The 13,040-nt window shown below is 48.6% G+C and overlaps 1 protein-coding gene across 3 annotated transcripts in view, besides 2 other annotated features; it reads left to right on the top strand.

Annotated features, from left to right (window-relative positions):
• PLXNA2 (plexin A2) overlaps positions 1 to 13,040 on the top strand; it is a 222,143-nt gene that overhangs the window by 55,783 nt on the left and 153,320 nt on the right. The window lies entirely within an intron of this gene.
• Positions 7,783 to 8,736: an enhancer, noted in NCBI's record as "H3K27ac-H3K4me1 hESC enhancer chr1:208353211-208354164 (GRCh37/hg19 assembly coordinates)". NCBI's record gives its function as "activates a minimal SCP1, AML or CMV promoter by ChIP-STARR-seq in naive H9 embryonic stem cells {active_cell/tissue: H9 hESC(naive)}" and the evidence as "EXISTENCE:reporter gene assay evidence [ECO:0000049][PMID:30033119]".
• Positions 8,860 to 9,416: an enhancer, noted in NCBI's record as "H3K4me1 hESC enhancer chr1:208352531-208353087 (GRCh37/hg19 assembly coordinates)". NCBI's record gives its function as "activates a minimal SCP1, AML or CMV promoter by ChIP-STARR-seq in primed H9 embryonic stem cells {active_cell/tissue: H9 hESC(primed)}" and the evidence as "EXISTENCE:reporter gene assay evidence [ECO:0000049][PMID:30033119]".

Raw genomic sequence — 13,040 nt, 5'->3', positions numbered from 1 at the left:
GAGTAGCTGGGATTACAGGCAACCACCACCATGCCCAGCTGATTTTTGTATTTTTAGTAGAGATGGGATTTCGACATGTTGGCCAGGCTGGTCTTGAAATCCTGACCTCAGGTGATCCTCCTGCCTTGGCCTCCCAAAGTGCTGGGATTACAGGCGTGAGCCACTGCGCCCAGCCTATATCTCCATTTTGCAAATGGATTGAACTGAGATTATTGAGTCAGTAAGCAGTGGATCCTAGGCATAAATCCCTAGTTTTGTGGCTCAAAGTTCACAGCCTCCATGAGGGCTCCATACCTTTGTTGTGTCTTTTCTTCTATCCTACCCTAAAGCAGGCATTCAGCCTATCTTGCTAGAACCTCGTGACATGTAATCTCTGTAGGTTTTGGGCTACAGTAGGTGTAAAGGACAATAGGACATGGGTTCTTTCCTCAGGTGCCTAGTTGAAGGCATGAGATAAGCTTGCCTCCTTTGTTCTTCCCCTCAAGACGTGATCTGGGGGCTCCATTCTCATAAATATTCAGGTGCGCGTCACTGGTGGTGGTGCAATGTGGAGCTGGGGGAGAGAAGCCCAGAAATCGGGTGGGCTGAGCTCAGTCCCAGCTCTACAGCCACTGACCTTGGGGAAATCACCCCAGTTCTCTTATCCCTAAAATGGAGACATTGATCATTTCAGTTCCTCCTTCACAGGATCGTGGGGCAATTTAGTGAGATGATACGTGTGAAAGCAACAGTAACTGCACACCACTGCACAAATGTAAGGGTTAGTGCTGCCTTCTCTCTGCTACCTGACCCATCTGATCAGCAGCATCAGAAAGAACCTAACACCTGCAGGTTTTATCCCGCAAGTACATGGCCTGGTAATGCTCTGAAGGTGGAGAAAATACTTGCCAGGGACTTTTACAAGATCCTGGTCATTGTGCTAACAGTAAGGGAAACAACAGTCCAGATAGGACAGAGTACCTTGCAGACGTCTTCGCATAGCACTGGCTGGTTTGCTGTCTCTAAAAAATTTTTTATCTTGTGAGAGTTTCAGGTTTGCTTTCATGAGTCAGCTTTAGGGAAGTAAGCTGAAAGCACAGTGCAGAAAAGATTTCAGAGCTCGAGTTGTTCAGGTGGTGTTCTTTGGAGCGCATTTGTTGTTCAGGCTGTTGCTCCTGCTTCCCTCCCTTCCAAATCCAGCCTCCCTACGGTCTCTCTCACACACACAGAACCAAGATCAGCCTCTCTGGGCTATGTAACAAAAACCATCTTTCTCTTGCTGGTCCATGACATAACCCTGCCAGTCTGGGAGCTATTACTTTTTCCAGATGTGGAATAATTGCAGGGCTAATCACCCCTGGAGACTGCTGGGACCCTTCTCTAAGGGTCTCCAGGTCCTTTCATTTAATCCTCATGACAGTCACTAACAATAAAGAAGAAAGTGGTAGATGCTGAGTGAGGAGCTAAGATATTTGTCCAGAGACACAGCAAGCTGCATGTAATTCTGGTTCAAAATTCTTAGGTCTGCAAAAAAACTGAAAAATGTCTCTTGTCCCTCCCCCACCTTCCTACAGGAAGGATTTTGTACAAAATAACATTGCAGGCCGGGCGCGGTGGCTCACGCCTGTAATCCCAGCACTTTGGGAGGCCGAGGCGGGTGGATCATGAGGTCAGGAGATCGAGACCATCCTGGCTAACAAGGTGAAACCCCGTCTCTACTAAAAATACAAAAAAAATTAGCCGGGCGCGGTGGCGGGCGCCTGTAGTCCCAGCTACTCGGGAGGCTGAGGCAGGAGAATGGCGTGAACCCGGGAAGCGGAGCTTGCAGTGAGCCGAGATTGCGCCACTGCAGTCCGCAGTCCCGCCTGGGCGACAGAGCGAGACTCCGTCTCAAAAAAAAAAAAAAAAATAAAATAACATTGCAATTCCCAGGACAGCCCTTCATTCCTTAGCTACTTCTCTACAGATGTGGGGCCACCTACTCTCCCCCTATCCCATTTTCTCCATCACCGCCTCCTGCCTCCAAGCCTACCTTTCTGAAAGATGTTCTTGACACTGTCATTAAACAGCTGCCAGCAACACCTGCTGGCATTCTCTGTTGCAAAGATAACAACCCAACTTTAAAAAGAGAGAATACAAAACAAGAAAGGCTATGGGAGGTGTGGTTGTGGGTTTTGGTTTTATTGTGTTTTTTTCCGTTTGTTTGTTTTTTTGCCAAATTACATTTTGTACATTTCTCTGTTGATTCTCTTATTCCTTTGCATTTTCTATTCTCTATTTATGAACCCCCTCTCCCAACCCCCACTTTAAAAATCAAGAAAAGGAAACCTGTTTCAGGATTAAATATGGTGTCAACATGTGGCTAGGATCTGAATACCTCAAAGAGAAGTCACAGGGGTTGTCTCCACCTACCCAAGCCTTTAATGGTGGAGAAGGAAAGATGGATTTAAAAAAGACGGAGGAGCCAGCCTTTTCCTCCTACCCTCCTGGGCCTCCTTCCAACAAATGATGATGCAGGGTGATGAAGATAGCGCTCTCAGAATCTGTGCCTAGTGATAACTCCCTCAGAAAGTCATGGGGATGCTTTCCCCACCTGTGCGTGTACACTGGTGTTTCTTCTGTTTATGCAAGGAGTCATTGCAGGGAGGGCTACATCTAGTCTGCTGCCCCAGTGGTTGCTAAGTCTTGATAGACACCACCTCTATCTGCCCTGCCCTCCTGCTCACCCACAGAGATGTGGCCCATTCTGAAACCACCAGCACCTCTTCCTTGCCACACCTGTCTCTAAGTGCCATTGGATCCCACTGCACAACTAATTCCCTTTTGCAGCCAGCTGGAGGAACACAAAGCTTATTACTCTCTTAAGACAATAGCTCAAAAGTGATAGTTTCTTTTTTTTTTTCCTTTTTTTTTTTTTTTTTTTTTTGCTTTCAGAGACCAACAAGGAATAAAGGGGCAGCTTCAGCTTCAGGAAATCGAGTTGTGTTTTGTGTTGCCAGGGGGTTGGGGGCTGGCGAGGGCTGAAGAGGTTGGGTTACTGGAAGCAAGATTCAAGGGAGCTTTGCAGAGGTCAACCCCAAGCAGTCTTTGTGGGAACCATCAAACTGATGACTCTGCTGATTTTCTATAGTGTCATGGAAAAGGATTGTAGGGAATTCTTGCCAAGTCTTTAGAAGAAAAGATATATATAGCTAAAGACATGTATATTTATAGAGAGATATATGGATATATTTATGCCAGTCATGCCAATGAGCTCTGCAGCGAGGAGAGGCCTCTAGAGAAGAGCAGGGCACCAGGATCTCCCTGCAGCACTTTCTGGCCCTTGGGAAAAGGAAATAAGAACATCATCGAAGGTACCTGGATCTGTGGCCTTAATCCTGAGAGGCCCCACCTCCTGGACTGAGAGGGCCTCCTTAACAAGGCCAAGCCAGGAGTTTTCCTTTGAACGGTTCAGTCAAATCCCTGCAGCCTAGAAGACACCTTAGAAGGAAATCTTTCTGGGAGTCTTTGATCCCTGAGGAACCTAATGTTCAGAGCAGAGTGTGAGAGGCAGGGATTCCTTATGGGCCAATGCCAGGAGTAGGGAGGGGGCTGATGGGAGGGCTGAGTGCTCCATGCCTAAAAGAAGGGAAGAATGGCCCCAAATTCATTTTTGCTTCCACCTGTGGGCAAAAAGCTTAATTGGACTGTTGGGCTTGGAAGGGCCCAGACCCTGCTTTTAGAGGAACTGGGAGGCTTGCCTATTTAGCTGGGACCATCTGCTGGCCCCCCGCTTAAGCCTGGGGGAACAGCTGAGGCTTACTGAGAAATTGGGCTAAAGATTCTTTCCAGAAATCTCCCTGGAACTGCATGAGGCGTGTGTGTGTGTGTGTGTACTCTTTGTGATTTCTCTGCACCAGCGGATCTCTTAATGTGAGTAAAGCAGCGCAGGCTCAAGGGTGAGCTGGGCGGGAGGCTTTGCTGGGTGTGCCCAATATCTGGCTTTAACATCTCTCATTCCATCTCCATCATGTCAACAGCTTTCAAGATTGACTGAAGCATAACTGCTTGCTTCATCCCCAGCCTGTGTGCCCCTTCCATCCCTGCCTACACCCAACCCTGTAGAGGCCCTGGGGTGTGATGAGTAAGTCAGGGTAATGACACCACACCCACATTATCTAGGGCTGGCCTTGGTATACTTTCCTTGGTTTTTTTTTTTTTAAGCAGGGGGTGGAGAAGGGAGGCAGAATATGATTGCAAAACCTATTTGGCTGTAGCTACCACCTGAATTCCTCTTTTGCTACAGACAGCGTCCCCCTTCCTCCCCAGGCAAGTTAAATTGCTTAGGACTGGCAAAGAGACTCAGAGTCTAAAGAAAACCTTCGGGTTGGCAGAATAAACATTCTTACCCGTCCCTTCCCTCCTCCCTGTCTCAACCCACCCCACATCTATCCTCTGGGCCAGTTAGCCCTCATTCCTAAGGAGCAGGCTATCATGTGAACATCTGGGGAAATCAAGAATGAAAGTTACACTTGAGTAAAAACTTCCTAGAACAGCACTGTCCAAGATAACATTCTGTGATGAGAAAAAACTTTTATATCTGTGCTGTTCAATACAATAGCCACTAGCTACATGTGGCTATTGAGAGATTGACATATATTAGTGTGCCTGAAAAGCTGAATTTCTTATTTTACTTAATTTTAATTAATATAAGGATAAATAGCTACCTGTGGCTAGTGGCTATTACACTGGATGGTACAGTTCTAGAATATGAAGTAGAAATAACTTAGAAGTCTAGGGTACCATGAAAGCCTAAAGGAAAAGTCTCCAACTCTCAGTCCCAGTTGAAAAGGGGGCAGTTTTGTAAGATGCTACAGTGCAATTTCTTTTTCATCTGCCCCAGAATAAACCAAATTCCCAGCTTAAAGCATCAGACGGGCCTCTCTTGGTGATCTGTTTCCCAGGTAAAAGAAACTGAGGGGTAGATAAGCAGGAGTGGGGCCCAGCACCGTCCCCCACCCCCAAAGACCCCCCCCTCTCCCTCTCTGGCACCTGGCTCTGGCTTCTCGTCTACAGCAGGGACCCCAGTGGGGACGCTGCGCAGAATGGTGCTGCAACTGCGGACATCTGGTTTCCCTCCCATCTCTGCCCCTTCATTTCTTTTCTGTCAGCAACAGCTCCTGGCTGTGGATGGTCAGCAGAGTCAACGAGGCCTGCAGACCTCCTTTCCGGCTCCCTCTACTCCCCCATCCCCTGCTGAGGAAGGTTAAGGGAGAAAGAGAAAAAAAGAGACAGGAAGGCAGAGTGAGGGTGAAATGAAATGTTAGTGACATTCAAGAAAGTGAGTTCATGGGGCTCTCACTGCCCTCCCTCCGGATTCAGGATGAACCTTGTCTGGTTTATAAGCCATCAGTGGCTTCTCCCCTGTCTGAGTTGCCAAACTCTTGTGCCCCCACCCTCCATGGCTCACTGCAACACATGTGCCTCCTCCCATATCATGGCAGGTCCATCTGTGACCTTTGTTCTTCTGACCTCTCCCCTAGACGAAGGGGGAGCCCCAGAGGAACTTTCCCTCCCTATCCCAGACTGAATACATTCAACCTGCCTCTCTGTACAGCCTCCCCCAGTCGCTGTGGGTAAACAGGAGGAAGAGAGAGGAAAAGCTTTCTTTCTTGACTAGGAGGTTGGCAGCCCCAGCTTGATTCCACATGGGAAGAAGCTATTCCTTTTTCTGATCTTGGCTCCTTGGCTTTTACTGTCCCCTACCCCTAGCCAGAAGCTGCATTAATTCACCGGGTCACTCAGCAGCCAGAGTCTCCTCTAGGAGAGGCTGAGCTGCCCAACCTAGGAATGGGCTAGAACCCAGCAGTACTGGATGCAAACTCCCCGCACAGCTCTGCCCAGCTGAAAGGCTGCCCTTCAAACCCCTTTTCTTGCTCAGAACTACAGGGGAAAGCAGGAGAGCCCCTGTTTTGCTACAAACAAGCAGAGTGATGGCAAATACGCCTCAGTTTTCCTATCTGCAAAATGAGGAGACGGCCTCATAAGGCCCTTCCGGAGCTCCATTCCATGAATGCAGTGTCCCAACATTGCCACTCGCATGGGCAGAGCAAGACGCTTTCAGTAGCTATGGAACTGCCAAAAAATTCTCTTGCAGTTTTTTGGTGGTTCTGATTTCTTTTTTCTGTCTTTCTTTCTTTTTTTCTTTTCTGAGACAAAGTATCACTCTGTCACCCAGGCTGGAGTGCAGTGGCGCGATCTGGGCTCACTGCAACCTCCACCTCCCTGGTGCAAGCAATTCTCCTGCCTCAGCCTCCTAAGTAGCTGGGATTATAGGCAGGCACCACCATGCCCGGCTAATTTTTGTATGTTTAGTAGAGATGGGGTTTCACCATGGTGGTCAGGCTGGTCTCGAACTCCTGACCTTGTGATCCGCCCGCCTCAGCCTCCCAAAGTGCTGGGTTTACAGGCGTGAGCCACTGCACCCGGCCTTTGATTTCTTAAGGAAGAGAGATGAACCCATTGCTCATCTCCTTCTACTGGTTTGATTCCTTTTGTCTTGAGTTCTAAGCTCTGGAGCTGAGCTGAGCTGAGCTAGACTGAACAGGCCACGGTGAAAGAGACAGGAGAGACACTAAGTCAATTTGCCTTTGTTTGTATAGCAGCTAGAGCAGGGAGGAGTTGAAATGAGATAATAGAAAGAACTTCCTAAATGGGACACGGTCTCAGGGGAGTGTAACATTTTCTTTCCTAGCAAAATTTCAAAATAAGAAAGTTGGAGGAGAACATTTGCCTCCCAAAAGCTATTTTTCTGGACATAATTTAAAATTACAGCTTCTCCTCCTATCGCTCTGTATTCCGCCACTTCCCATCCCTGGACCTCATCCCTACCTTCACAGTGAACTCGGGCCCACAACGGCCTGGTCTACAGATGGCGGAAAGAGGTGGGAGGTTTTGCCAGAGAGCAGGGGTGAGATTCCCCTCCCAGCCCCTCTCTGACTTCTGACCTCTGCACCTTTCTTGCTAGTGATCCCTAAATTACTGGGCTGTCTAACCCTCTCTAGGGAGGAGGGAAGCAAACAGGGCTGACGGGAGGTGGAGCAGAGAAAGTATGAGGTGGAGGTCAGGGGTCTTTTCACAGTGTGTTTTGGCAAAGGAAGCCTGTGGAGCTGCCAGTGGGATCAGACTTTCATCTCCTGAGCTAGCCCCCTCACTGGGAAAGCAAAAGCTGTCACTGGAGCTGTGATTTGGAGCATGTGCTCTGGGGAACTAGGCTGCACCCCTCAGGGTCTGGCCCCCTGAAGGAAAGACCAGAGAACAGACAGGGCCTTCCCTGCACCCTCCTGCCACCACCCTCCTCAGCCTTAGGAGGTGACAGCAGTGCCTGGAAAGGGGCTTGCTCAGAAGGAAAAGGCTCGGTCTGCCTACCTGGGTCGGGAAGTGGTAGATGGGATTGTCCTCAGGGCCCCAGCCAGCATGAAGCCTCTCTGATGCTTCTTATAGCCCTCAGTGTGTTCCTATCACTCCAGAGAACCTCCCACATGCATTTGTCTCCCAGTCCAGCAAATTAAAATCTGAAAGGAAGGAAGAGGTCACAGGCTCAGAGCCTGGACACTAGAGGTTTCTCACTGAGTGAACTTTGGAAGGCTTGGAAGGCTGGAGTTTGGGGTCGCAGAGAAGTCAGCCTCCGCCATCCCCTCTCAAACTTGGGCAGGGGGAGACCCCAGAAGCTTGACATGGCCAGGGCCAATAGCGGTTACTCCCTTTCCCTCCTACCCCCATTTCCCTCATCACAGTCCTTTTTACCCCTCCTGGGATATCTTCCATCCCAGTTCCCCTCGATTGCTTTAGGGTGTGGGGCAATGACAGCGAATACTCATGAGGGGCAACAACTTCAGACAAAATCTCTGAAGACTCACCCGTGTCTCCACACTTCTTCCACCCCTTGCTAGCTGTGTAAAGTTAACCACTGTGACTCTCAGTTTCCTCGTCTGCCAAACGGAGTAAATAATAGTGCCTTTCTAGGATGGATGCCAATGTTGTTTGGATTCAACATAAAGCAGATGCAGAGGGTGTAACGCGGTGCCTGATACATGAAAGTTAAGCATGAGCTCTTGGGTTTTTGTTTCCCAGGTTTCTTCTCTCTTGGTGGCTCTTTAATGAATAGTGACAGTCCATACCCAGGCAGCCATAGCCACTGCCACTGCCACAGCCAAAGCTCAGGCTATGTGATGAACCTGTTTTCTCTGCCTTCTGCCCCTGCTCCCAGCCATCCCGGCAGAGGTGCCCACTCAGGCCTCCTACCGGAGCCCCTCTCCCACCGCTTGAATGCAGAGGCGTTTCTTCTGCTGACAGCCTGAAGACAGGCCATTTTTCTTCTCCTCCCATATAATGGCCTTTACTCTCCTACCACTCCACCCCCTTTCCCAGCCTTAATGACTTTAACATACACACAGTTATTTAAAAAAAAAAAAAAAAATACAAGCCCCCAGTGAGCTGCTCTAAACCGCCTGTTGTGGAGGAGGAACAACCCAAGCACATGTTCACAAGTCACTGCATGTGATGACAGGGGGCCTTGTGCTAATTTCCTCGTGTTTGAAGCCCCAGGGTGGGGGCGGGGCAGGAGGCAGCCAGAGGGGAGAGACCCAGGGCTTGGGTATTTGCTTGTTCCCTTTGATCCTCCTAGAAAATGCTGTAGCATTTGGGGAAGTATTTCATCCTGGGAAATCTCAAAGAAGAGTAAGAAAGATGCCTTAGGCAGGGGTTGGGGGGTGGCAGGGGATACTGTAGAAGGAAGATGCTACCAGATGACCTTTTCTCTCCTTGAGATTCTGAATCCCTGCTCTGGCTTCCCTGGGCAGCAGGAGAGAGTACAGAATCTCCAAGGGGAGGCTTCAGCTCAAGGTATTTATGGATTTGCTGAAGCCTCCTACCCTAACACTCACACAGTTTTTGCCTTCCAGTTTCTCTTTGTGGCTTATCTGAGAGAGGCTAATAGAGCCTCCAGGGCCCTCATCTGCCCCACCCTGTGGATAGCATCTAGGTTGAGCCTCTCCCTCTGATCTTGACCTCTAGGGCTGACGTGTAGTCTGTGAACCAAGGGTTGGTCTGGTGGGGGAGAAGGGGAGTGAGTGCTGCCTGCCTCTTGGCAGACCATTATGCCAGGAGGGAGGAGGTTCCTGACCACAGGACAGGTCCGGCAGAAGGGAGGGAGGACAAAGAGCCAAAAGCCCCGGCTGCACCTCCTAGCAGGGAAATGGAGCTGGCTGTGAGCCAGGTTTTCCTCTAAATCAGAAGCAAATGCACCAAAGCTGCAACCTTACCCCTTGACCGAGGACGGGAAAGTGCCTGTCTGACCTCACGTTATTGGTGCTATTATCATCATTATTGGTAATATCACCATCATCATCCTGTAATTTACCAGCTTCAATGGCGAGGATGCTTAGGCTTCCTCTGGGCTTTCATGTTAAGAGAAAATGAGTTGTGGCAGCCTCCCCGCCTCTCTCCTCCCCATAACCACCCACAGGGCCTCTGCCCCTGTCCTCATCACCAGAGACTCTCCGTAGCCCAGGCCCAGCGTGCTGTCATGCTTGTGGGGATGCTGTGTGTCAGGGCTTACATGCTAGGGCAAGGGGGAAGGCCCCTTTGTGTGGTAGCACATGTCCCTCCTCTTTAAACCAAGAAAAAGACTTCAACCCACACCCTAAACTAGTTGTTCTCAAACTTAAGCTTGCATCCGAATCACCTGCAGAGCTTATTAAAATACAGATCACTGGGTCCCACGCCCAGCATTTCTGATTTAATGGATCTGAGATGGAGCCTGAGAATTTGTATTTTCCAAATGCTGATTTTGTAAGTTTCCAGTTGATGTTGATGCTGTTGATCTGAGTACCACATTTTGCAAACCACTCCCCTAAGGGTGAGTTATTGGAACTCTTCTTCTCCTCGCATCCTCCTGGATACAGGTGTTTACATTGTCCCTCATTCGATACCTTCCAAATTGGGTTCCCAACAAGGAGGCCAAGGGCCCAGGTGCAGTGTGAGATGGGGGAGTGCTGCTAGCTCGCACACATAGGAACCCCTTGGAGAGAAGGCAGAGGCAGGCAACACCCCCGCCCCTACCCCTGAAGATTTATTCTTTCATTTGGTATTTTAGGCCTTCCTCAAGGGGGTGCTGGGGCCAGCCTGACTCACTGTGTAAACCTTTTTCAGGAACACTGGGCTGCAGCCAAGCTCTCCTCCCTCAGTTAGGCCCACCCTCATTCTTCCCCACCTGTTCCTCTAGCTGAGCTTCAGGCTCAGCAGAAAGTGACAATGTCCCTGTGCACACTGTCCCCATGCCCTGTAGGGAACAGGCACCTGGCTGCACATTGTGTACATTAATTTTCAAAGCAAGGCTTCTCATAACTCTTTGCCATAGCTTTCTCCTCCCCTCTACTCCAAAGAGCTCAGGAATTCCACAAAAACAGTGCCATGGGAGCGTGACCTTTGCTCTTTTTTTTTCTCCTCTCGGTAGGATAAAGAGGAAAGAAGGTAGGAATGGACACTTATTATGCTCCTATAGAATGGCAGAGGCTGTGCTAAATGCATTGCACATCATCTTCTATTACCAGGAGTGTTTTCTGCCTAATGTTTGTTCAAGTCCTCAGGGTAAGGCCCCTGTTTTGCAGTAAGAGGTTTGAAATCTCCAGGTGCACACTGTACACAGATAACCAGAGACGGGCAAAGTCTAGCCCAGTGATTCTCAGACTTGAGAGTGCATCAGAATCACCTGACTGCTTGTTAAAACGCAAATTGCTGGGTCCCACCCCCAGAGTTTCTGATTCATTAGCACTGGGCTGGGGCAGGCCCCAAGAATTTGCATTGCTAACAAGTTCTTAGGTGGGGCAGATGCTGCTGCTCTGGGGACCACGGTTGAGAACCACTTATCTAGTTCTACAGCCCATTGGTTAGACTTTTGCTGGCTGTTGTTTTATGTTTCACTCATCAGAACTGTATTCCCACCTCTAGACCAGATTATACTCTTTCTGCGATCCCTTGAGGTCACTAAGGAAAAATGTGACCAGCTTGCTAATTCCATGTTGTTTATTCATTTATTCAAAAGATAATAATCATTATAGTAAACACTCATTTAGTGCTAAGTGCCACTGTCCTAGAGCTTTGCATGTATTAACTCTTTTAATCCTCATAAATAATCCTGAGGTATCTGTAATTATTATCCCCATTTACAAATGAAGCAACAGAGACACAGAGATTTGAAGGTTACACAGCTGATCAGAGGTGGAGTAGGGATTCAAACCAGGCAGTCTAGTTCCAGAATTTGTTTTGCTAATCAGTCCTCTGCTTGGTGAGTATCTGTTTTGAGATAGGCACTATGCTGGACTCTGAATGCATCAGGTAGGAAAAATACAAAAAGGTGAATAAGTCACAGCCTTTCCTTTAACAATTAACAGTGTTTAACAGTTACAGCCTTTCCTTGTATGAACAATTGGAACATCATAGAATAGTACCAAGACAGAAATATGTATCCAGTGCTGAGGCCCTAAAGCAGGCAGAATGAATAGGTCTGGGAGAGTCGGCAAAGCCATCAAAGAAAAGTGTGCATGGAGCTTGGTTTGTAATGCAAGGAGTTTTGAGCTGTGAAAGAGGCAAAAGGCCATTCCCTAGCAGCAGCCAAAGCAGTCTGTGCAAAGGCACCGGCACCGTGGTGAACTGGGCACAGCAGGTTCAGGGGACTATGAGTGGTTCAGTGCTAGAGGATCCCAGGACTCAAGGAGGAAGGGAGTAGGGCAAAAAGGGAAAGCAGCTGACAGGCAGGCTAGGGCTACACTGTCAGTGCTCAAGAGTTTGGACTTTGGTTATCAAGGGGAAACCCTTTAAGGTCTTTGGAGCAAGTGAGGGACGTAATCAGATGTGTCATTTTGAAAGATAATGCCAGGTTTTAGCTTTTAGTTCAGCATGGGCTACATGAACAGACACAGTAGGAGCTGGCCTTCCCTTGCATCCTCAGTCACTTATATGTCCCTGGGTAAAATCACCCTCTTTCCCTGGCACTTTCTATCTACCTGGACAGCATCCCCTTACTGTCTGTTTCTCACTGTGGGACTTTTTCTTGTTGATATTTTCCATTCTTCTCCAGGCTTTTCCAACCTGTACCTACCTAACTCTGACCCTGTAATTCATTAATTTTGCATCTTATTCTTCATGACCCCAAGAAAAAATCTGTAGCAATGTTGTTTGTAGCCTGGAAACCCATGCTTAAGTTGGCCATGGCTCCTTGCTCTGGTAGGTAAGGGCAGATGTGGATACAGGCATAATTTGAGGAGTAAAGAAGGGGTGACAGCCTCTTCTTACCCATGCCCGTGGAAATGAAATGAATGAGTCTAGAGTTAGTTGCAGGCCACTGGGACCCCTCTGCAGGGCTTACCTGTCTAACCCAGCTCTTGTCATCTCACTGGAAAGGCTGATGGGAACCAGTGCTAGAAGCACCATCCTGGGACCTTTATTTTTTCATCTGTGAAGTGGCAACAATTCCTTACTTGTTTATTTCACAGTTATTGTGACCTTAACTCAAACCTGACTTTGAAAGCCTATTATAAACTGTAAAGCACCAGACAACTATGAGAGAGAAGGAGGGTACGTAAGGCTGGTTGGTTCCAACAGAAACAGAATTGAGCCATCCATCAATTCACTTCAGACAAAACCCCAAGATACCACACAATGGGAAGCCGGCCCGTGTCCAACCCTATAACCATCCTAGTGAGTCCCTAGGCATCTTTTAACTATGGTTTGAACCAGCCTGTCTTCTTTCTCTGGCTATCAGGTTTTCTGAGGCACTCTCTTAGGAAGACTGCCATTCTCCAGCCTGACCTCTGCCAACCAGGGCCTCAGGTTGTTGCTCCCTGGGGCTATGGATGACCTTTCCAGATTTCCAGCCCATTCCCCTGGGGAGCAGTGATTCCTGTTGTGGAGACAGCTGGCCCCAGGACTCCAGCTCAGACTTCTCAACAAAGGACTGGTCCAAGAAGAAGAACATAGTTCCAATCAGACTGCCTAGACTGTCCAGGACACAGGCAAAGTTT

This window comes from Homo sapiens, chromosome 1 (genome assembly GCF_000001405.40).
Source record: "Homo sapiens chromosome 1, GRCh38.p14 Primary Assembly".
Classification (NCBI taxonomy): Eukaryota; Metazoa; Chordata; class Mammalia; order Primates; family Hominidae; genus Homo; species Homo sapiens.
Note: the sequence above shows the minus strand (reverse complement) of the source record. Positions and strands in the feature narration are given on the sequence as shown.